General features: G+C 41.0%; 2 annotated features.

Annotated features, from left to right (window-relative positions):
* Window positions 10,484-10,985: an enhancer, noted in NCBI's record as "NANOG hESC enhancer chr9:1273747-1274248 (GRCh37/hg19 assembly coordinates)". NCBI's record gives its function as "activates a minimal SCP1, AML or CMV promoter by ChIP-STARR-seq in naive H9 embryonic stem cells {active_cell/tissue: H9 hESC(naive)}" and the evidence as "EXISTENCE:reporter gene assay evidence [ECO:0000049][PMID:30033119]".
* Window positions 17,543-17,592: an enhancer, noted in NCBI's record as "active region_28122". NCBI's record gives its function as "activates an Ori minimal core promoter by ATAC-STARR-seq in GM12878 lymphoblastoid cells {active_cell/tissue: GM12878}" and the evidence as "EXISTENCE:reporter gene assay evidence [ECO:0000049][PMID:35858748]".

The following is a 25,970-nucleotide window of genomic DNA, read 5'->3' as shown; positions in this document are numbered from 1 at the left end:
TTATAGATTTGAACATGGGGTGTTGCTACCAAGGCTTGCTCAGGGGTCAGGGACAGTAAGCGGGAGAGTCAGGTCTCTAACTCACAACCAGGGGTCTTTCCACCACACCGAGTCCTACAGGAGGAACTGGGATCACCTGAGCCCCTCACGTTCTTTAGAGCTGAGCTCTGCGACTTCCAAAGCTTGTCCCCGAGGGAGGTGAGTCAGCAAGCAAAGTTAGAGGGAAGGAAGGACTCAGAGCGGGAACAAGAGGTATGGGTGAGACGGAGGGCAGGCCAGCCAATGGGAGGCCTCAAGAACAGAATGAGGAGAACTTGGCCGACATCCCGCAAGTGACAGGCTGAGCACACACTATGATCCCCAAACAAACTAAACCTACGTGTTATGTGGTTCATCGGGTCTTAATGGATAGACATGCTCTCAAACAAGAGCCCTCCTCTCCCCTCGCTTTTCTGAGAAAAATAATGAAAAGACTCACTCAAGAGAACACCAACCTGTGGTAACTAAACCTTTTTGGAAGAAAGCAATCCATCCATGCAGAGAGAGGTAGAAAGAAATATGTGCAGTGGCGGTTTTGCTATTGCTGGTGAGAGAGACGTCAACATACCATCAGCTTAAATACCAAGTTGAGAAGTCTGAGGAAATTTGAGGAGTCAAACTGTGTACCGTCTCAGAATACAAGGTCCCAGGGGAAACAAAAGTATTCACATTCAGCACCTAAAATTAACTCTCTTTCTCCTCCTTCCATTCGTAGGGCTTATCAGGTGTGAAATCAGACACTGTCTCTGGTCTATTGTTAAAGGCATTTGTGTGTGTGGGGGGGTGTGTATGTGTGTGTGTACACACACACACAGAGTTATACACACACACACAGAGTACAGAATTATTCCACCCAAAAACCAGGAAAAAGGAAAAACCACTGCTTTCATTGAAGGATTACTAGGTGTTCATTGGCCCACTACTCTCTCTTCTCTTAGAGAATTTTAAACAAACAGAAGAAGGTAAAGCAAGCTAAGCTTCAATCCCTGGTAATACGACATGACTAGGAGCAGAGGTGTGAGAAAGAAAGGAAACCTAGTGGAATAAAAATGTTAAATTCACAAAATCTGTATGGATTCTGTTAGTTTTTAGAAAGAAGTGGTGATAATTAAAAGCCAGCCAATGAACTTTGCCCCAACCCCTACTGTTTCCTGCCTGTCTCTTCCCAAGGGGTGCCTTTGGTGCCCATGTAATGACAAGCCCGTTATTTTTATACATTAACTTTCCTAGCTAAGCATCACGCAGTACTTTCTTGCTGTCCAGCAGCTAGGTGATGGCTATAAAATCAATCCCCATACTTATGTTGAGGAGGCGTTTGTATGTTTTGGAGTCTTGATCAATACTCAGCATATGAGTGTTGTGCAGAAAAGTGTAACAGGATGGGTCGGAGACTACTTATTTGAAAGGAAAATCCTTGAGATAAAAGAAAGATGATTGAATACTAAGAACATATTAATTTATGGACATCTTCACCTCATCTCTAATGTCCCCAAGAAACAGGGATTCCTAAAATAATCTGCCAGTGTCAAGCAAGAAGTCTTCCCCTGGAAGAGAAAAGGAAGGTAACTGAGATGAGGTCAGTTTCTACTCTCCCTGGACACTGTGGTAGGGATGTTACCATCTGTGTAGACCTCACAACACCCTGCAACAAAAGATGTGTTGTCATTTTTAACCACAAGGACCAGAGAGACCAAGTGAGCTTCCCAAAGTCACCCAAGGACTTCACACCTCAGACTTGCCATTCTGTTCACTTATTTATTCACTTGTTCATTAATTTATTGAGCACTGACTCTGTGGTAGGCTCTGCATTAAGGACTATAGATATAAAGCTAAATAATACACACTCCCCCAATCATGAAAAGCTTGTATCATTTGTCTATTGTGATTTCCAAAACCACAGAAAATCTCTTCCAATGGCAAAACCTAGTGACTGCTTTCCCCAAGGAAAGGATATTGCCCATAATTGGTGCAGCCTCTCTTCCCTCTTTTTTCTTTCCTTCCTTTTTTCTTTCCTTCTTTTCCACCTTCCTTCTTTCCATTTCTTTTTTTTGGGAGGAAAGAAGTTACAAGACTTAGTATTGATCCTACTTAGTATTGATCACTGGAAACATAATGACCCAAACCAATGTTCCCCATATAACTATTTTAGGTGAATCAATTCCAGTAAAATCAGAAACAAAAGGGGTTTCATAGTCAAGGAATTTGATAAAATTAGCTATAAAGCACTGCCTCTAATGATTCACAATACACACCAGCATTCACAAGACTCCCAGAAGTGTTTATTTATCATTGCTTAATGCGGCATCCCCCTAAGCTTTTCCAAGCATTGGAATACATAATTACAACTTGAAAAACAGTTTTCCAAGATTGGCATTTGGAGGTGGAATTGCACTGGGGCTCAGCTTAATCATTTGATTGGGGAAAAGTAAGTGAACCTTTATGTCTGTTGGAAGTAGCCCCTTGCAGAAGAGCACAGAATTTGATAATAGAAGACCTTAGTTCAAGTCCACAATTTGCTACATACTAAGTAAGAAAACTTGAACAAGCTACTTAACCTTTTTGAGCCTTTGCTTCCTTACATAATAAGTGCACTGGATAATACATACCTTGACCTTATTTTTATGATTAGAGATTATGTATATACCTTTTAAGTGCCTGGCAATGCCCAGCAAACAAGTGCCAATATAACACCTATTTTAAAATATAGAACATAATACAGTTGACTCACAATGAAAAAGATGTGTATTCTAATCTACTGTTCCATGATTTAAGAATGTCTTTCAGGCCAGGCGTGGTGGCTCACACCTGTAATCCCAGCACTTTGGGAGGCCGAGATGGGAGGATCACGAGGTCAGGACATCGAGACCATCCTGGCTAACACGGTGAAACCCCATCTCTACTAAAAATACAAAAAATTAGCCGGGCATGGTGGCAGGCGCCTGTAGTCCCAGCTACTTGGGAGGCTGAGGCAGGAGAATGGTGTGAACTTGGGAGGCGGAACTTGGAGTGAGCTGAGATCGCACCACTGCACTCCAGCCTCAGTGACAGAATGAGACACTGTCGCAAAAAAAAAAAAAAAAAGAATGTCTTTCAGCTACCAGTCATCCACATGTTTGCTAGAGACTCTTGGAGAAATTGCATATATTTTTATAAATGACTGACTGGAGTCACTCCTACAAGAAATACTTTTAAAACAAGAAAATTGGCTTTTACCGTTGTTGGCATCATGGTCCAATCAATTTAACTAACTTGCAAGAGGCTGACAAGAAATTATACAGAAGGAAAAAGAAAACATTACATGAGAAATTATTATTTTTGCCTTTCATTTTCTGCTCTTATTTTTCCTTTGTATTGTATTCATTTCATTGCAATTTCTCTTTTCTTTCTACGTTGTATTTACTCTTATCTTTACCACATAAGTTAAACAAAATATTTTTAAGCTGTATTTTTTTCTAGTAATCAAAATTGAAAATAAAATGGAATCTCTTAACATCCCGTTATCTAAAAGAAGGAATTTACTCTACCTCCTTCCTACTCCCATTTCCTAAGCCTTTGTTTAATACTGTTTGGTAGATAAAAGCAAGAATATAGTTGAAATTATTTTTTACTAATATATCTTTCCTTTCAGCATTATCTTTGACATTTACATTCAGCATTGAAACCATATTTATAAAAGTATCTAGACAATCTTTTTTACTTGCTCCAATTAAGTATAGTATGAAGAATAAAGTAAATTTATATTTATGACCAGATTAAGATGCTCTTGAGTGAAGTTACCAAAGGTATGGAAATCATATTCCCATTTCTTTAAAAATATATTCAATAAATAAAAAATATTTGTATCTTGAAAGCTCTACAACAAAATTATATTAATGATGGGTATGTGTGGAAAGTGAAATTATGGATGATTTTTAAATACTTTGCCTACCTTGTATTTCCCAGCTTTTCTAAAATGAGGACATAGCATTTGTTTAATAGAGAAAAAATGAGCTACTAAAGAGACAGGGAGTTGCTTGCATCTGCATAAACTGCTCTTAACAATCTTCATTTATTAAAGTGACAGTAAAGGGAGCTTCATAAAGACAAAAACTCATAAGAACAAACAGAGCAGGAGAAAGGAAAACAGCAACACAATTTTGGAAGCTGGAAAGCAGATGGCCCATGGTAATTGACTTAGCAGACCTAAGAAAGCGGAATTCTAAGCTGACAGTGGGAAAAGCCATGAACAACCCAATTTACCCTGAAGAACACCCAAAAGACTCAGAAATTGGCAGCACCAAGTACCTCTGTAAGGGGGAGGTGAAGGTCAGACTAAAGAAGGATTTGTGCAAGTCGTTTAAGAAGTAATTAGATCCCCAAGATCCCCCCTCTACTTTAGGTGGCCAGCCAACAGCCCATCCCTTCCCCAGCCTTCCTCCAATTTCTACATAAAATTGGAAGTTTGTTCTCTAGAGACTGTATAGCAGAAGGCTCTGGACAAGGGGATATCAGATACAGGTGAGGGCAAGGGTGCTGGACCATACCAGAAATAAAGGGATTTAGCACACACCAACCACCACCACCCCTCCTTGCCAGCCTCTGCCCTGCACAGCTTCCAATGCAGTCACCCAGGTCTTAGCCTCCAAGGGTTGGCTTCCCAGTGAAACAGCCAAGTCAACTCAAAATGCAAGGACACCAACAATCAATAAGTCCCATCCAAGTGCTCCCCAGCTGTGAACTGTACTGATGTAATAAATGAGAACATAAACACTGAATAGAAAGCAAACTAACATTACCAGTAAATATATAAATATATCAGGGGAAAATGGAAAGACTGGGGGCTGTGAGAACTCCGAGTATGTCTGTGTGTCTGTATGTGTCTGAGGAAATCAGAAGAGTAAGTCTTTGTGCTTCCATTGTGAGAAGTAGCAAAATAAATATGTTATAAAGAGAGACATGGGGCCGGGCGCTATGGCTCGCGCCTGTAATCCCAGCACTTTGGGAGGCCGAGGCGGGCGGATCACGAGGTCAGGAGATCGAGACCATCCTGGCTAACACGGTGAAACCCCGTCTCTACCAAAAATAAAAAAAAAAAAAATTAGCCAGGCACGGTGGCGGGCGCCTGTAGTTCCAGCTACTCCGGAGGCTGAGGCAGGAGAATGGCGTGAACCCGGGAGGCGGAGCTTGCAGGGAGCAGAGATCGCGCCACTGCCCTCCAGCCTGGGCGACAGAGCCAGACTCCGTCTCAAAAAAAAAAAAAAAAAAAAAAGAGAGAGAGAGACATGGAGGGAAATGCTAAAACAATCTACGGAAAGATTGGTGGCCTCTGAGAAGGTCGAGATGATGGGAAGTTAGGGGTAGGGGGATGACTGCTGCTCTTCATAACAAGCTCTAAAAATGTGTTTGATCTCTTAAACAATGATAAAAATAAAAATAAATCAATGAGAACATGATTTTGTTACAGGATGAGACACAACAGAAATCTCAATGAATTAGAAATAGAAGCCACATTCTTTAGACATAATATAGAAAATTAGATATTAATAAATCAATGTTAAAAAGTTAACTACCTTTCCTGATACAAACTCTTAACAAACAAGATAGGATCAAGGAGAACAAGTCATGGATCATCTTATATCATGAGTTAAATCCTATGTCATGGCTTAAAACAAAATCAATCCCATCTCAATTAGCTCTGTGTAGACTAACTCAGTAATGACAGAGAAAAGAGAAAGCTTTGGGAGCCCAGTCTATAAGACCTACCCGAGCCTTCAGCTCCAGAGCTTCTCGCCCTGTCAGTTAACACAAAGTCAGAGTCTTGTCTTATAGCATGTGCTAAAACAACTTCCGTAAAAGTTAAGGAGTCACGGGGGAGGAAACGGGGAGTTACTGGTCAAAAGGTACAAGTTGCAGTTAGACATGGGGAATAAGTTTTGAGATCTACTGTACAGCAGGGTAACTACAGTTGATAATAATAATATATTGTAAATTTCAAAATAACTTAGTAAATTTCAAATGTCTTACCAGACAAAATAATAAGCAAGTGGGGTGATAGATATGTTAATTAGCCTGATTTAATCATTCATCATTGTGTGAGTGTGTGTGTGTGTGTGTGTGTGTGTGTGTGTATCTCGAAATATCACACGGTACCCCTTAAATGTGCACAATAACAATTTGTCAATTAAAATGACATTAATTTTTTTAAAAGTTAAGGAGTCAGACTTCTTTTTTAATATAGCACAAAAAATATGTAGGAAGCTCTTTAACTGATCAGAGTCTGAAGGCTATTCAAAATATAAAACAGTGAGTCAAATCACAAAGTAAATTCAGGTGAATATCCCTTAAATGAAATACTTGGAACCAGAAGTGTTTTAAATTTCAGATTTTTTTCAGATTTTGAAATATTTGCATTATACATACTGGTTAGGCACCTCGATCCAAAAATGCAAAATCTAAAATGTTCCAGTAATCGATTATTTCCTTTGGGCATAAACTTTGAGTGTCATGTCAGTACTCCAAAAGTTTTAGATTTTGAAGCATTTTGGATGTCAGATTTTTGGATTAGGAAGGCTCAACCTGTACTCACATATTTAATACATTAAATTTTTTAAACTCTGTATGTTAAAAAAATCTAAACAACAGTAAATGGTAAATGACTAGGAAAAATTATTAGCTAATTTATAAATATGATAAAGGGTTAATATCTATACCAGATTTTTAAATTCTTACAAAAATCAATAGGAGAAATACTAATATATCAATAAAAAAGAGAAAAAGAACATGACCAAAAAACTCATGAGAGAAAAACATAAGGTGAACCCAAAACTTGTGGAAAATGGAAAACATGTCTAACTTCTAATTTTTTTAACTACAAATTAAAATTCCTATTAAATTAAAATGCATTTTAAAGGTAATATTTAATGCTAATAGAGGTTAAAAAAAAAGCAAGTATTCTCATATATTTCCATTGGAATTTAACTTGGAAAGCTATTTGGCAATATGTATTATAAGTCATAAAATTGTTCATACTTTTGAATCAATAATACTTTTAGAAATCTATCCTAAGTAAATGAGAGATGTAGTAAAAGATTTATGTACAAAAATATTTATCACCCAGTTATGATCCCACAATAGGGAAAAGATTCAGTAAATTATAGTATGGTCCTGTAATAGAATATTAGGTAGGAATTAAAAGTCATATTTTTGAAGAATATTTAATAACATAGGTAAATGTTTATGATAAAATACTAATGTTAAAAACACACGGTACAAATTTTATATAGTAATGATTCCAATTTTATAATATATGCATATATCAAATTTTGTTATATGTGCATATATACTCTATATGTGTATTCAAAAATACTGGAATGAAATACATGAAAATTAATAGTAGTTAACCCCAAGTAAAAAGATCTTGAGTAAGTTCTTTTCTTTAACTTTCTTAAGCTTTCCAAACATTTCTAGAGTGAGTATAAATTACTTTCAAGTGACAAATGTAATAGAAATAAAGTAGTAATTATCTTTACTATAAAAATAGAAACGCTAACCACATATATAATCCATATTAAAATCTCCATAATTCTGAATTTGTGAAAATTTGGACACAGGCCAGATTGAAGTTTGCCTTTGGTTGGTAAACCCTTCATAAAAACCCTTCAGAATACCTAAGTTTGACAAATAAGAGTATAAAAGGAAATAAAATAATAAAATGGCAAATAGTTATTGTTTACCATATACAAAGCACTTAAATCAAATATTTTACCATATGCCTTCTACCATCTATGAGGGCCTTATGATAGTTTCCCACTTTTATGGATGAAGGTTCTCTGTCATTGGAAGGAGCATCTCACTGGTCACCCCTGAGATGCCCTTGTCCAAGCAAGCATGGACCATTTGAAGGCAGCAACTGCTCTGCTCACAACATCTCCCCTCTCTTTCTGGCTCTGCCCCAGGTCCTTTGCCTACTTTGCAAGGCAAACTTCACTTAGCGTCCCATCCCCAACACTCACACTGCCATCCCCCTCAGTGGGCCTGCTGTTTCTGTGACATGGCACAGGAGGAGGCCCAGGTCAGCTCCTGAGTTGACCACACTTCTTGTTCACCACACACAGGAAATTCCAGCGTCTTCCCTTTGAAACCCCAGGGCTTCCAAAGACTTGCTGGAGACTTTCTCTAGAGAATCACAAAAATCCAAAGAAGCTATTAACTATCCTGAGGCAAGAGAGGCAAAAATATAGACATTGCCTATGGTTGCTAGACGGTGGAATCATTGCTGCTTATCACATTTTTTTTTATTGGCGTAAAATACACATAACATAAAATTTACCATCTTGGCTATTTTTAAATTTTTTTTTTTTTTTTTACAGATGGGGTATTGCTCTGCAGCCCAGGCTGGAATACAGTGGTACAATCCCAGCTTACTGCAATCACAGTTTACTGCAGCCTCGAACTCCTGGGCTTAAGCAATCCTCCCACTTCAGCCTCCTGAGTAGCTGGGACTACAGATGTGTGCCACCATGGCTAGCTTATTTATTTATTTATTTATGTAAAGACAGGGTCTCATTATGTTTCCCAGACTGTTTTTGAACTCCTAGCCTCAAGCAATCTCCTTACCTTGGCCTTTAACCATTTTTAAGTGTACAATTCAGTGTTATTAAATATATTCATATTGTTGTGTAACCATCACCACCATCCATTTCCAAAATTATTTTCATCTCTATAAACTGAGACTCTATACCCATCAAACAATAGTTCCCCTTTCTCCTCTCCCTCAGCTCCTGGCAATCACTATTTTATTTGTTTCTATGCTCTTGACTACTCTAAGTATCTTACATAAGTGGAATCATACAGTATTTGTCTTTTTGTGACTGGCTTATTTCACTTAGCATAATGTCCCCAAGATTCATCCATAATGTAGCCTGTGTCATAACTTCCTTCCTTTTTATGGCTGAATACTATTTCATGGTATTGTGTATACCACATTTTGTTTATCCATTCATCCATTGGCAGCCACTTAGGTCACTCCCACATTTTATCTATTGTGAATCAGTGTTGCTATAAACATAAGTATACAAGTATCTTTTGAGATCCTGCTTTCGATTCTTTGGGGTATATACCCAGAAACAAAATTGCTAAATCATACAGTAATTCTATTTTTGTTTTTTGAGGAACTGTCCTACTGCTTTCCACAGTGGTTGTATCATTTTACATTCACATCAAAAGCGCATAAGGATTTCATCTTTCTCCATGTCCTTGCCAACACTGGTTGTTTTCAGTTTGTTTTTTGGTTTTTTTTTTTTAATAGTAGCAATAGTAGTCACTCCTAATGGGTGTAAGGTGGCATCTCATTGTAGTTTTGATTTGCATTTTCCTAATGGTAGTGATGTTGAACATCTTTTTAACATGCCATTACTGGCCACGTGTATATCTTCTTTGGAGAAGTACCTATTCAAGTCCTTTTCCTACATTTGAATCCAGTTGTTTGTTTTTGTTGTTGTTGAGTTTTAGGAGTTCTCTGTATATTCTGGATATTAATCCCTTTATTCCATATGTGATTTGCAAATATTTTCTTCCATTCTATGGGTTGTCTTTTTACTCTGTTGATATTGTCTTTTGACGCACGAAATTTTTCAGTTTTCGTGAAGTCCCATTTGTCTATTTTTTCTCTTCTTGCCTGTGTTTCTGGTGTTATATCCAAGAAACCATTGCCAAATTCAACATCATGAAGATTTTTTCCTATGTTTTCTTCTAAGAATTTTATAATTTTATATCTTTCATTTAGGTCTTTGATCCATTTTGAGTTAATGCTTGTATATGATGTTAGATAATGGTCAAACCCCATTTTTTGCTTGTTGATATTCCATTTTCCCAACACCATATGTTGAATGTAATCACTGCTTTTTAACTTTTTTCAAGATCCTAACCAGAAAGAAAGGGAAAAAACGGCATTTCGAGAAATTATCCTGTATTATATTTTTATGTATTATATATCTTTAGGGAGAAATTTTTAGTGCCTTCAGGAATTTTTGAGGCATCTGCACGTATAAAATCAATTAATATGCCACTTACAAATTAGTATCATAACTTATGATAAACCTCCTGATTGCCACTAATCAGAGTGGATTGAATGAATGAATGAGTGAACAAAGGAATTGAATGAATGATATTTTTCAGTCATAGTATATCATTTTTAATTGGGATTTCATGTACTCATGCTACTCTCTTTTAAACAATAATATTGTACTAGAGTATCCCCACTTACTCTCAGCCTGACGATTACTTAATATTAATATCAAAATTCAACCAAATTGAATGTGGGATCTAGGTGGCAGCAGCACTGGCCTGTCCAACCATTGTCCATACCTGGCTCTCCATAAAACAGACCTTGACAGGTTTATTCTCATGTGAAATCACTTGGTGGTTTTGTGATTCAGATAAAATGTCCAACTCTGAGGAACTAGAATCCATCAACAGCTGCTTCCATATGAAATACTACAGAGAGACCGTAAAACTCAGGTCTGCAGAAAGAAAAGCAAACTGTCTCCTCCAGGATGCAACCACCTCAAATGAGCTTTCATCTAATGAAAGTGCACTAACCGCAGCAGCTTAGGAACATACATGGCTAACTGTCCTTTCTACAAACCATAGTAAAGATCCAAAGTGTTTGACCCCAACACCTGCCACAGAAAAGAACAGATGACTCACAACCCAGAGGTCTTGGCTTTCAACAGGATGCTAGTGGCTCGAATTATTCATGGAGTGACTCTGCTCTGGTGATTAAAGCAAAGTGGTAATACTTTGCATATGTCTGTGCTACAAGCATTTTTCATGGCACGACTGCAAATTTCTTATAGGAAGATCCAGACCAGGTTACATGAGAGGGACAAATCTTTCAACTCAATAAAACAGGGCAAATTTGGAAGGAAAATCTTGTTGGCTGGAAGTCAGAAGCTAAAAAGAGTAAACAGAATCACAACATAAAATTTTGTGTGTGATGATATGCAAATGACAGAAAAATAAAATATTTCTACTTAATGTGTGTCTCAATTTAGCCCACAGTTTGTATATTCTCCATATATCAACATACCAGGAAGAATGCAAGGGGTACTGTGCTATACTCAGAATATAGATAATCCCCTAAAAACTTACGGTTTATTTCACTTTTTAAATTAAGTAATGATTTAAATGTTTAAAGGAAAGTTAATCATTTCATAGTAATTTTCTTATGAATTAAATATGTATCGTTTAATTGGTATGGCTTAGAGTTTGGGAATTTCCTTGAAAGACTGCTCATCTACACTGAGAATACTACATGGAAAATACATTTCATACACTATAAACTTTCCAGCATTTTGTGTTCGAATGTAACTTTCCACTTCTCCAGGTAGATGTCACAAAATTTCAACTACACAGAATACATCTAGGAACATTCCTAGAAATTTTAAAGGTCTTGAGTTTTAAAGAAGAAAAAATATGTGTTACAAATCATCAGTAGTTTATTCTTAGGAGAGGCATAGCAACAAAGACTTCCTAAACAGCATTTAAAATTTTTCTAAGAGTTTAAAAAGTTAAGGAATTTTGAAACATCAATATAAGATTTCACTGAACCAAGAATTTCTTAAAATACTAGCCTTGCAAAGTAGTTAGTGATTCCATGTCCAGACACTGCATTTTGTTTAAAGATAATTAGAATTGACTCCCTGGACAACCTAAACTCATATCATGCATACCATTACAGAGAAATATTCCAAAAATGCAAAAGATCAATTATGTATTACTGCTTAGTTGGTTAAAGTTATGGATTCTTCCATTCATGTGGATTTCCTACTTTTTGTATATTTGTTACAGATTGGTTCTAGCAAAACATCACAAAAATTCACGTTTGTCATGAAGTTGGAAGAAAATGGCTGCATCTGCACAAATCCAATACCAGTGATCAAAATAAGGCCCAAGGGCAATCCTTCCGGATAACGCACCAGTTATATTAGATTTTATGGTTGGTATGTAAGCACCTGGAAGATAAGGACCCCACTTTACTCATCTCTGTGTCCACAGCAGCAGGTGCAGGCTTTGGCATGAAAATTACACTCAATAAATGTTAAACAGAAGATGAGTTTTTAAACATCTGTGTTGAAACATTATGAGAAAACACAAAATGCTATATAAAGCCTTACAGAGGCATTCAGGAATTTATATGTCACCTCTTCTGTACCCAGTTGTATGCTAAATAATGTGAAACTAAAAGAAAAATAGGCTGGGCGTGGTGGTTCATGCCTGTAATCCCAGCACTTTGGGAGGCCAAGGCAGGCAGATCACTTGAAGTCAGGAGTTCAAGGCCAGTCTGGCCAACATGGCAAAATCCCGTCTCTACTAAAAATACAAAAATTAGCCTGGCGTGGTGGCACATGCCTATAATCCCAGCTACTCTGAAGGCTGAGGTACAAGAATCCCTTGAACCAAGGAGAAAGAGGTTGCAGTGAACTGAGATCACGCCACTGCACTCCAGCCTGGGCGACAGAGCGAGACCCTGTCTCAAAAAAATGTGTATATATACAAAAAATATACAATATAGTGTTGGCCTTTGAGAGGCAGGGCTGAGACAAATGTTAAGAGCATGAAAATTAGAATCAGAGAGTTCTGGGTTTCAATTCAGGCTTTACCACTTGGGCAAGTTGTTAACCACTTTTCACTTCCACCTTATTAGCCTTAAAAATGGGACAACAATACTTGGCAGAGTTCTTGTGACAGTTAGAGGTCATGCACATAATTAATGAGCTTAACACATAACGGGACTTAATAAATTGTAACTACTACTACTAGATGCAAAGGTTTGAAAAAATAAAATTGACATAATATTATTAGAGAACACACAAGCAAATACTAAGCTATGTAGAACTGACACGAGTGTAACAGGAGTCCAGAGAAAGAATGAAGTCGGTGAGCAGGAGCAGTCAGCTGAGTCCTTGTGGGAAAGGCAAGGAAGAGAGCTGGATTGGGAAGAATAGACAAGTCAAGCAGGGAGATTGCTGAGAACAGAGGGTGGTGGCTGTGAGAGGGTGGGTAGAACAGGGCAGAGCCTGTGTATGAGGGGAGGGCACAGGAAAGGGCTGTGGTGGAGGTGGGGCCACGTTGGAAGCAATTCATCTGGTTTCTCAATGACAGGCTGGAGAAGGGTTTTCTGTTTGGTCTGTTGCTAAGTAATGATTTTCCCAAATCTATCAAGTTTGGAAAATGAGGTTTAGAATTTCTCTAATAGAAGTATTTGTTTTAAAAAAAAAAGTTATAGGGAAGAGGGTAAAGAGATTCCATTGTCCTACAATTCTTAAGCACCGAAAACAGCATTTTTTCAGGAACTCGGATGTCTAAAACAATATGTTAATTATTATGGATAATGCTATTTTATCAGTAAGCAGTACTTCTAAAAATAAGTAGATAGCAACTAATATATAGAGTATCTCAAATACCAGTGTTGGGTGGGAACTGTGGGCACTTCAGATGACCAAGAGCACCAAACATGTCCATGGTCTACCCCAAACCACCCAGAGCCTGTAGGAGGAATCTACAGTCTATATTCAGTCCCAAAGAAAAACCACAGAATAGACCCTCCACGTCAGAGTAAATGTGTCTGGAACATGAGGAAAGGTTACAGAACCCACATTATAATATATTACCCACAAAAACCCACTCTGGGGGAAAAAAAAAACCAGCAAGCATGGAGAATTTATGCAATTACAAGGTTCCTACTTAACTCAGGTAAAAAGGCTCACTTCCTGAAAGACCGTCACAGAGCACTGAGGGTCTCAAAGGCCTCACTGCCATCTGCAATCTTGGTTCTTACTTTTTTAAGGCTTTTGGTGTTGAGTGAACAGCTGAGTAAGAAAATACAACCAATCATTGTCAATAAAAAAAAAAACAAAGCACCTTAATTCTCATTGTTCTTTTGGCTAACCAAGAATAGAGTCAAAAAGGCAGAATCTCCTAAGGGCAGAAGGTAGCCATTCTTCCTCAAGTTTTTATTGGGCCACCATTTCATATAAATCACATGAAAGAGCAGCATGCTCTTTGTCAGCAATATGAGCTGTGAAGTTTCAAAATATCTAAGTCTGATCCAGGCACTGGAATGAAGCCCTTTGTTCTCTCAGCAAATATGGTAGGCTCTTAAAGAAACCGGTAAGTTCAAGGTCCATTTTCACAAAGAAGGAATGGTTTTATAGCAATGCCCCCTCCTACCCTAGACAAGTTGCTGAGATTCAATGAGAAGGCAGAGTGCTCTCTCCCCAGGTAATGATGTGGCATCCTCCATTCATTGTGCTTTCACATCTCAGCTCCAACCACTTGCCGTCCCATTTGTTTTCCATATCTCTTTTGCCGGAGACATAACAAAGCCTTTCATTTTTTTCCTTCAAGATCAGAGACACATCTGCAGATGGAATTTTCAAATTACAGAAGCACTAATATAAGCTGTTGATGTTACTATTTTTCTTTTCACACACATGCTGGGAAGTGAAAGTTTGTATGAATACATGAAAACCCAAACGTGACCAATGAGGGTTTTATAATGAAAAAGTAGAAGAGGGAGAGGGAAGCAGATGAAGCAGAGAGGGAGAGAGGGGGTGGAGGGAGAAAAACCGAGGGAAAAAGAGACAGAAGGAGAGAGGGAGGGAGGGAGACAGAGAGAAAGAAATGTGGGGGGGGAGGAAGACAAAGAAAAAGGGAACAAAGTCCAAGGAAGATGAAAGTTTTTAAAAACTTTAACTCCCTCATCAACCTTCATTTCTTGTCAAGAGTTCTTCACAAGTTTTTTACCCATGAAACTTAACTCCAGTCTGTTTAGTTAATTATGAAAAACCAACGTGGAAACCATTATTTCAGTGTGTAAATTTCTTCACCAGGTGTTGTCCACCCACTGCCCTCCTGTTCTCAAGCTGACAAGAGCAGCCCCAGGCGCCTGAAGAGCAGGGGATCCACAGGGAGCCGGAAGATGCCAGGTGGGAGAAGTGAGGCCCTGTTTCCCCACCCTACTGGGCTTGAATTTTAAAAAGATGATAACTTGGTGAGGCCAGGACTGTATCCCAGGGTCAATGTGAAGAGGGAGCCGCCTGGCTTGAAGTCTGACTGTGTGTTTGCAAGCAGACCCACTTTAAAGGCCCAGGGCACCTTTCTCCAGCTGCTCTCTGTGTTGGGTCCTAAGGACTCACAGCTCCATTCATCTCTGAAGAAATTCCTCTTCAGATGGGAGGTTATGCATCCCCCAACACCACTTTTTTGTAGGGGGTATCTTTGGAGCCTGCACGGTGTGGTCTCAGCTCCCAGAAAAGGGCTGCCTGCCAAGCAAAAGTCTCTCCTATTGACCACTGTGTTAGCTTGGGTTCCGTAGAAGGAGAACTAAAAGAGAGATTCCTGTGAAAGCTCAGGAGAAACCTGTAAGAGAGAAAGAGGTGCAGGACACAAAGGGGAAAACACTCAGCTAGGATGAGGTTGCAGCTGAAGTCAAGTTTCAGTTTTATCCTATGGGTAGCTCTGGAGCATGAATTACAACTCAGAATTATAGTCTCAGAATAAATTACCACCACTACTACCATATCATGCAGTCGTTGGTTGCAGGTTGCCCCTACAAAAGAGGGGAGAAGCATAACCTCCCATCTGAAGACAGGCTACCCCAGAAATGAGTGAAGCTGTGAGCGCTTAGCATCTGACCTTAGAGCAGCTGCAGAGAGGGGCCCTGGCCCCATGAAGTGAGCCTAGGAAGGGCACCAACCCGCTGCCCGGAGCCCTGTGTTTCTCACATTAAGTTCAGTCCTTCCAGGAACAGCTTCTCTGGGACTGTGACTGCTCAGCATGTCTAGGGAAACATATAAAAGGAAGACTCATTTGAGAGAGTACAGTCTCAGCTGCTCAGTTGGTCCCGAGCTAGAACTGATGGCTTCAATTCATCAGTTGAATTGAAGGATTAATTCAATTCCTCATCCCACCCTAAACCATCCTAGATTCCTTCACCCTTAGCTGGCTTTTCTCCTGGTCAAGATAACATCACATAGGCCACTGGCAGAGGGTTCTCATCTCATCCCTGAAGAATCTGAGCCCCTGGTTACCATGCCTTTAACAGATCAGCATTCCTATAATTGCCCATTGCCTGTTAGAATTGACAGGGAAGGGATACCCCAGTGGATCGCTGGACTGCAAACCATTTTCCTGTCTGCCCCCATGACTTGGCAGCAACCCTACTTCCTCATGATGATGGGGGTCAATTACCTCTGCCAATAGACCAAGTCTTGTTTTTGCCTGCTGTCCTGGCATGTTCAGCCCAAAGTGACCAGTCACAGCCATAGCTTTAAATTTAGTACAATTCCTACTTTGAACCTTTGTGGAAGTATCCGCATCTGAGAATCAGAATGTATATATCCACAGAACCTAACACTGAAGATGGAAAACATAAATTCCCCAAGTGGGTCCCTGGGAGTGATTGGGGAGCAGGTGCCCTCCTATTTTCATCCCCTGGTTTCAAGACCCACGTATTCTACCCAGTGTCCACAGGTCAAGATGAATATGGCATCCTGCAATGTACTACTCTAGCCCCACAGGGTATTATCTACAAGCTAGAGCCTCAGCTGTCACCTTGAAGGGGTCATGCCACCATCACACCAGGCTGCACGGCCTGGGGCAGGACCAATGGATCCCATAATTCTGTGCTCACTGTCATGACTCCTTTGCTATAGAGTGGGCCCCTTGCTTCACAGTGATATTTTGCAGGACCGTGTGTCCAATTTTCAGATACTCTGTGAGCCCTCATATAGCCAGGCAGACAGGAGCAAGAAAGAAAAACCCATGCCCAAGAGATGTGTTAATCCTGTGCAGGATGAAGTCTTGATTTTCCCAGGTGGCAAGGTTCCAATGTAATCAACTTGCCAGTGAGTTGGCCAAGGGCAGAGCTGGCTGACATCCTATCCACGTGGTTATTTAATGCCACTTCTGCAGTGGATGTTCTCTGGTGAGCATCACTATGCAATACAAAGTTCCTCACACTTTATTCCTGCTCCCACATCATCGGCCACATGCTTCTTCCCCAGACCACTTCGTCTTCTATCTTCTGACCATGCTCTCTCCAGGCCCCAACCACCAGCAAAGCCGATCACTAATGCCCATACACCTGTGTAAATGCTTACCTTGGATCACTTCTCCCTTCACGCAAAATGAATGGCCAAGTTCTTTGCCTAAAACGCCCCCTCCCTGAGGATTTCCCCTCAGCACTCCTAGGTGGGGTGGTAGTCTAACAGCTGTCTATTTTTGGCTTGCACCAATATACTGTGCCCACCAAGCCTAGGCTTTTTTCTCTTCTATCAGCTGGTCATGGGAAAACTCCCACGAAACCATAGGTGAGAGCTGAGGGAGGGCCATCTGTGCAACAGTGGTAGATGACATGGAATCCCCTTCATCTGTTCATTCAGCTACTGTGCCCTCTGAGCTTTCTCAAGCCAACCCTGGATGTAACACTTCCTTCTTGCAATGACTCATTGTCTTTGCATAATGAACACTTCTGACTACATGGCCACTTGCTGTCCTGTAGTTAGACTCTCAGTCTCTATTGGAGCCCAATAGCTTGCTAACAATTACTTTTCGAATAGTGAATTGTTGTCCGCTATGGACGATATGATATATATATATGATATATATATATAGATATATATATATATAGTATGTAAAACCAAAACCCTCTCCTCATCCTTCACCACTGAATCCTTCCATCTGAGAATCTGAGATGTTTGCCAGAACAGAGAGTTATTAAGTATTTCTGATACCTTGTAAGTGGTATGAGTCACACTCCCAAACCCTGAGATTTCCTAGTTGCAATAATTTTTAACTCATCCCTACTCTATTTTCACTGATGACTACTACCTGTTTCACCCCACCAGCACAACAAAACCACCAAAACAGTCACCCTTCTTTGCTCCCAAAATAAAGACCCCAGCTGGAATGGAGGAACAGGCTGGCAATGTGGGGGTCCTACATTTTTTTCTGTTCCCAGTAGCCATTCCTGCTGCCTCCGTGGCTATGCTTGCCACCGTCCTCTCAAATGACTGCCAGCCATGGAGTACAGCATAAGCCATTCTGGTAGACAGAAAATTTTGACAGCTATGGTTATTCGACAGCTCTTTCTCTAGAGGGCAAGTGGCTCTGCTAAGTCACTGGAGGCAGCTACAGGGTTACATAGTTCTTTCAAGGAATGGCCCTCTTGAAGAATTTGTGAACTCCATAAAATCATATTCTTAACTAGCCATTCAGGCAGGGTGTAGGCTCTCTACCTCTCCCCTGACCACAGGGGTGAGTTTGACTATTCTCAAATAACGGTATTGTACGATGGAGAATATGGTGGCATTGCGCAGACATAAGATGCAGCCACAAACCCAAAACCTTTATGTATATTTCCATAGAGAACAGAAAAGCACATATACAAACTGGATTCCAGAAACAGCCTCAGGTCTCCCCTAAGGTAGCTGGAACCACAGATATCTAGGTGGACCAAGATTACTGTTGACCAAAACCTGCCTGTTTTAATGTGGTAATCATCTCAGCAAAGATCTGTGGTGTCTCAGTCCTGGTTTTGAGAAACTCTATGTTTCTACCTCTTACAATGGGCATTTTTAGAGCAAAATATTTCTGATCAACATTGATGTTAGTTTTGATCTAAAAAGACCTCATCTCCGGGCCACTTCGATGAGTTTCTTTCTCTCCTGACAGCGACCCCATTGCCATTCAGGCCCATAAGCATTCATTCTACTCTGCTCTGGCCAGACCACTACACCGGGGCCTGGCTCTAATCTAGATCACCACATAGAGGACATACCAGGTAAGTCCAGCTGCAGTTGACCAGCATTGTGACTGCATTTGAATCCAGGTGTCAAGAGGAAAGGTTTAGGAGAAGGAATATATCATGAAATTGAATAAAAATGTGGCTCATACCCCCTGACAGGCAGTCAATCGTTAGTCTAAAATTACATTTTCAAGTTTCTGCTTTAATTTCTTTTTGAGCTCTAAGTTTGCTGAAAAAATTTGGGGATCTCAATAGGGGACCAACTAACTGATTTATTTGTTTTTCAAAGGTTTCAAGGGTTTGCAAAAGAAACGTGATTTTAATTTACAGCTTTTAAAAGTCGCTCTGCTTGAAGTGGTTTGCACATTAAGGTTGTCGCTATATGTCGGCACGGCTTGTTGAAAAGTTTAAAATTCAGTCTTTAAACTGTCGGTGGTAGTTGTTATTTCTTTGGCTGGTTATACCTAAGTAGTGAAATAACCAGTCTGACCAGTGCCCATCTCCCCGCCTGCAACCCAACTGACTTGACAGCTGATTTTAGTGTTATTGTTGAAAGAACCTGAGAGTGGTTCTGGCTCCCAACTCCCTAAAAATTAAACATTGAGGACAAAATTTATAACTGTATAAACTAACTTCAGACTTGTACCCTAGACTTACCACCAAGTTCTTATCAGCTCTAAAGATAGGCTTATTAGAGTAGAACTATAGGATAAAATTTGTATTCCTTGGTTGACATTACTCAGTGGTAGGTATGTCCCTGGCTATCTGCTCCCTTATCTGTGAGAGCAATTCATGAGATGGGAAATGGAAGGTTTAAACCAGGGTCAAACTTTAGCTAATGTCGATGTATTGCAGGAGAACCATATATAGATCTTACCCCAAAGTTCTCCTTCCACTCTAACTCATCATAGACACAATTGCTAGGGAGCAGCCAATGCTTGTACTTCCTCCATTTCCCAGGTTTTATTCCCTGTTAAGCATGGTAATTAATTTTTAAATCTACAAAGAACATGAAAGCAAAAGAGAAAAAAAATAGTTCCCATTCTTTCTGTCTTCAGTTGGCCTCTCTTTCCCTTCTTCTTCTTCCTCTGAAAACAATGAAAAGAACCTTTTCTCTAAATTAGCCATTCTCCAAAAACCTCTTTTCATTCTAGACTTTTGCCTCTCCTATCTGTTTCATGCTCTAGTCCTGAATGTTGCAAGCTCAGAAGGTCATTGTCAATGTTGGTATCTAAAGCTGGATGAGCTGCCTTCTGTGCGTGAGTTATCTATCATTGAAGGGGTTCAAACAGGTGTCAAATGACATATATCTGCGATATTATGGAGCAGAGGCTTGAGTCAGATGGATCTAGGGTCATTTTCAGCTCTGAGATTCTATGTCTGATTGTTGAAAACCAGTTTCTCCAGCCACTTTAAACTGTTGAAATATATGGTGTTGCATTAACAGCAATAAACCACCTCCAACTGCTGGTATAGACACCCGAAGTCACTCTTAGTTGTTTCTAGGGGTCTCTAGGGATGTTTCACATGTCCTTGCAAGTCCTGTTAACCACTATAATATCTGATCCTTTCCTTCTCTCCTGCTCCACCTCCTGTTACCATTGCCTTCTACTGAAACCTCTGACACACTAAACTGCTTGTGGACACTTGCCACGGTTTCCAGAACACACGGTCCAGTTACCCTTACCAAGCACCATCAACCTTGCTGGCCACTGCCACCACTTCCACCAGGTGCTGCCTCTGATGCATGGAAGCCTCCAGGTGCCAAAGCAGGCCTGGATTCTCTTCTCCTCAATGTGTAGAAGTTGGGCTGCAGTCCAGGCAGAAGGGAAGAGAATGTCACTCTCCCCATAGGTGATTACACTCTGCTCCATGGGTATTGTAGTGGATTGAATTACTGGTCTCACTTTTGCACTCCTCTCTAGTAGTAACATACATCCACATCCTTACTGTGACCTCATGATGAGCAGAGTGTACTTCCCTGCCCTTTGACTTTTGCCTTGACCACATGACTTGCTTTAACATGAGCTTTCAGTAAATAAGATGTGAGCAGATGCTTCAAGCATGCTTCTGCTATCACTGTGCAAATCTACCTTGGGTAGCCTGGGCTCCAGTATGAGACACAGAAGAAAAAACCACCTGCAGACCCACAGCCTGCATCAGAGCCACCCCCACCAACCTACAGAACCAGGGGTAGGACAATAAATGATCACTGAATTAAGCCACTGAGTTTGGAGGTGGTTTGTGATGCAGCATTATTGGGGCAAGAAATATCTGATAAAGGTATTAAAGTAATGCTGTTTATAAAATTGCACTGTCATAAAACCCTTGATATCAAAATGAGTATTATATTTTCTTTGTCTTTTGCAACTTCCACAAAACTCAGATACAGTAAATGGAAGACTGGGCTGTTCACAAATCTGAATGTCAAATATGATGCTTGATCTCGAGTTGCTTTTCTGCTTTGATGACTGAGGCTTTGTTATTGAGCTGAGCTAAATAGTGGTTTCTAAACTGGGTTCCCCAGATCTCTAGAGATGCTACTGAGGAACCAGAAAGACATTCACAGAGGACAGGGGTTGAGTCCATGTGTGGAGGAGGCTACCACTCCCCCAGCCACCTCAACCAGAACAGCTCCCCTTTAGCCTTCAATATACTGATGGCCTCCACAGGACTTCTTTGAAGAAGTGGTTCCTCTGCTTTAAAAAACAAAAAAAATCGAAGCTGAAAAATCACAGTTAAGAAATTGCACATTTTTCAACCTTTTAAGGAGGGATTCTCAAGTCCCTCCGAATTGTGCAGGAATTCTACTCTGTTTTCCTAATCAACACACCCTCCCTTTCTCTGTAGTGATTACTTCATACCTTCCCTCCTCAAACCTCCAATACCCCCATCCCTCCTCCCTCTCTAATGAAAACTTTGCTTATTTCACTAAGATCTGGCATATAGTGGGTGCTCAATAGTATTTGTTTAATGAATTTAAAAGGTGTTATATGAATGATGCCGCTACCAGGTGTAGCTACTGAGGGACTGTTCTAAGTGCTCTGTGTACGTTTTCACAAAACGCACACACACACACACACACACACACACACACACACACACAAATGGACCCTCAGAGTGGTACTACTACTATTGTATCACAGTTGAAATTCTGAGAGATTATACAGCTTTCCCAGGATCACAAAACTACTCAGATGGGAGCTGGAGGTGGCTTTCAGGAGTTAGACACCAGACTTCACACTAACCTCTACTCCATATGATCAAATCAGCGGTCTCTCCTATCAGAAATGGACTCTAGACTCCAAGGCCTGTTTGGCCTTCACAGAAGATAAATTCAGAAAAAAGCTTCCAGGTCCAGAGGCCAAAGTGGCAGAGTGTTTGTAGGACATGTGAAGGGGCAGGGCAAGAAGCCAATAGGAAAGTTTCTGCAAACTAGATGTTCTAGGCCACACCAAGCCAGCATTTCAATGGGAAACAAATTTACATGAATAGTCATGACTTTGCTGGCTGGCTTTCCTCCTGCAAGTGGAATAACTGAATTCACCACAGATAACCCTGTCCACTGCTGGTAATTTCTGCGAGTCCTCAGGGAGTATCATCAATTTGCTCCTAAATAAGCCTTGTTAACTACCACATGGCTTCTGCCTGTTTCTTCTCTCTTCCTCCATCCTTCAGTGCTGTCTACCACTACAGCCAGGACTGCCCACAAAGACCCACAGAGATGCTTCCTGGGGAGCCCTAGTTGTTCTGCAGGGCCCCACCATCCACTGCACATCATTGCTGCCTGCCAGATCCTGTGGCTTCTGCCAGGCAACCCAGTTTCTGCCAAATTTCGTCCAACTCTGCCTGCTACCACTGCCTCTTCCTCAGGATCCACCAGTGTCTGCAAACCACCCTCGCCTGAGCCAGACACAGCTGGTATCGTCACGCTCAGGTCTGGAGGGTAACTAAAGCCTCCTGGTGTCCTGGGAAGAAATGGGAAGAATGTTTCTGACTTTTCCTTTAAGGAAACATTTTCCATGTGGATCCCAAAGCAGAGAGACTTGTGGCCCCAATAAATTATAAAGTGTTAAGTGAAACAATGTTTCCTATTTAGGACTCAGAGATGAGTTTGGTTGGAGCTGACTGAGCAAGAGTGGGGGGTGGGTGGCGCAGAAACTTGGGGCCAGATACCACCTCATTGGACATAAATCTCTCCTTTCTTCTTGTATGCCTAAGGCTTTGGTGCTGAACAACTTGTCTACCTGCTTCCGTCTTTTCCAGGAGGACCTACCAGACCTCTGTCTATAGATTTATGTAAACTTGTCATTCAAGGGCATCTCCTAACCATACCCTTGCTTCTGAATTACTAGAGGTGGCATCCCTTTGGGATTTTATTCCACCAAAAAGCGGCTATCTTCAGTGAAACTAATAAAATGATTTCTGATTTCCAGAGTCTCAGGGCTTTGCCCAGAAAGCATTCCTTTTATAATGTCTTCTGGATTGCTGACAATGCATTGCCTGAGCAGTGCTTTAAAGATAGTTAGAGATCCATAATTCTACTCACTGTTATTGCCCTGTGTCACTTTCCCAGATCCAGCCCATTGTAAACTTGGTTTCCTCAGTACCAGAAGGTGGTTTCCTTGCCAATCACAGCTGATCTACTTTGCCCACCCATCTTCCTTGCACCAGAAGCTTGGATGTAAGAACCATAAGGACATTAGGCCTATGTCCAGGAACTCTCTGAGTTTGGTGCCACCTGGCACCATTCCCAAAAATGTAATGCCATTGATGTGTCACACTGTCACACCTAAGCCATCCACCTATATTCAAGTTCTTGGGTCAGGGATAGCACCAAGGGACCATCTCGCCATCCAATTTATTAGCAGTAGTGCTTCATGCTGCCTTGAAATTTTGTTTGCTACCATCCCCTGTCCGCAGAAAAGAAATCTAAAATTAGCTATGTCTGCTGGGGAGCCCAGATAGGTAATGATACCATGTGGTACTGAACCATCTTCTCATCAACTTCAAACATCAAAGCCTGAGTTCGGGCTTTAGTTAATACTTCTCTCAGAGCTACGGCTTCATATACAAGCCTCTAATTTTACTAAAGGTGAAATTCAGAGGACACTAAAGTCTCTCCTGCAGCATTTATTTTGTCTATTTCTGGCAGGCCCAATCCACAATACCACAGACATGGACACACAGCTAAATCCTAGCAGCGGATTCTCCTGCTGGAAACACCCTGCAGATACATTTGGAATCCCCAGAGGGGTCAGTGCCAGGATCTGGGCTCTGTTCATGAAGAAGCTGAAGAGGAATACCAGATGAGGTAGGTTAGATGATTACCTAGCAGATAGTCACTCCACCCCACCCCCGCCTCCATCGGCAGATATTTCCCAGCTCCACTGACACTGGGCTTGTCTCTGACTCTCTGTGGCCCAGAGAATGTGGGTGGCAGTAAGTGTCCGGCAGGTCTGAGTCTTGGTTCCCCAAGAGCCATGATGTGTTTCCATAACTCCTGTTGGTGGCTACCCATTCATCTGGAGCCCCAGAAGGAACCCAGGGAGCACAGCCAGCCTAGCCACCACACAGACCTGTGATGAAAACAACTGTTTATCACTGCATGCTGCTACCTTTTGGGGTGGTTTATTCAGTAGGCAGCAAATGCTGACTGGTTTGTTACAAGTCAAAGGTGGGTACAGCTTGGGGAGCAGATTCACAGAGAGTGGGTTGGTCTAGGCATGGGTGTTAGCTCTAGAGAGAGATTCACAGACAGTAAGGCAGGGCTGGGCCTGCTCAGCAGGCTGAATGGAACCCTCTGAGGAAAGGAGAAACGGTGGCCCTGCCTGCGTCCACAGCTACCCCACTGCAGCAGTGGGGTGTTCTCTTTTTTTAGGTGGGGAGGGAACTCTGTCCTCAGCGTAACTTCTGGCCACCATGTCTTGACAAGGTCCTCATCAGGAGGAAACTCATTCTCTCCTTTCCCTCTCTTCCCCCTCCACCCCCACCACAGGAAACCCACCTGCTGCAGCCACAAGGACTAGCAGCTGTGCCACATGGACCTCTGAACCATACCTGGGCCTGCATATTCCTAACCAAGGCGGACATACCAAGACATTTTCCTCCATTCTACTAAAGCTAAAGAATCTAGAAACATAGGGTTTCACAAGTCTGTAGCTAGATGGCATGTGGATACATTCAGATGAGTGGGATTTGGCTAAACATTCCTAGGGGCCCAATCTGACACCACCAGTTCTTAAGGGCCCAATCTGACACTACCAATGTCTTCAAGAACATTCAAGAAGGGCCAGTCCCACCCTTGGTGAGCCACCCAAAACCATATCAGATCCAACTGACTGCTTCAGGCTCAGTCTGAGCAGTAAGCCAGGCTAGTGCTTAGAGAGTAGAGCCTGATAGAGAAGAATACAGTGGAGTCCTGCTCAGCTTATAAACCATAGCATGGAGATCCACCAGCCTCAAAGAAGTTAGACAAACATATTCCTCCAAGGATATGCAATTAGCAGCCAGCTTCTGATGCTCTGGAAGTCCACAGTCTCTTGTTTGGTTTTATTTGGTAGGGGATGAGGGAGGGTTCAGGGATGAGGGTAGAAGAAAGTATTATTCAGGTCTCCCGGGAAGAAACTGAAGCAAACCCAATGCATAAAGCTGTAACATTTTTAATTGTTAAAAAATAGAAGTTAAGAATTTTAAACTTAAAAGGAGATAATATAGAAGAATTCAGCCCAATGGTTGCTGTTTATTATTTATATTAGCCACCCCAGAATCGTAACAGTAGAATATTTTCATAGGAAAATATGATGAACTGGCATTATAAGGTGAGACATCCTCCTTTGGATCTCCTATCCCTATCAATTTTCTCAAAGCCAAAGCCAACCATATGATGCAGAAGGAGAAGATGCTTCTGAAAAAGAGTGGAAGAAAAAAAATAGGAAAGCCATATAAACCACACCATACTGGGCCATGCCGTTAACATCATCATAGGACACAATGGAGCCAACAGGAGAGGAATTAAAGCCCCCCAGGGAACAGGGCAGAGCTTCTCAGGAAGACTCATCTATCTCTGTCCAAGGAAAAGAATATTTCTACCATAGTGACAAAAAACTCATGATGAGGCAAGAGAGTGAATCCCGAAGCT

This window comes from Homo sapiens, chromosome 9, assembly GCF_000001405.40.
Source record: "Homo sapiens chromosome 9, GRCh38.p14 Primary Assembly".
Taxonomy (NCBI): Eukaryota; Metazoa; Chordata; class Mammalia; order Primates; family Hominidae; genus Homo; species Homo sapiens.
The sequence above is the reverse complement of the archived record's forward strand: the minus strand, read 5'-3'. Positions and strand labels throughout refer to the sequence as shown.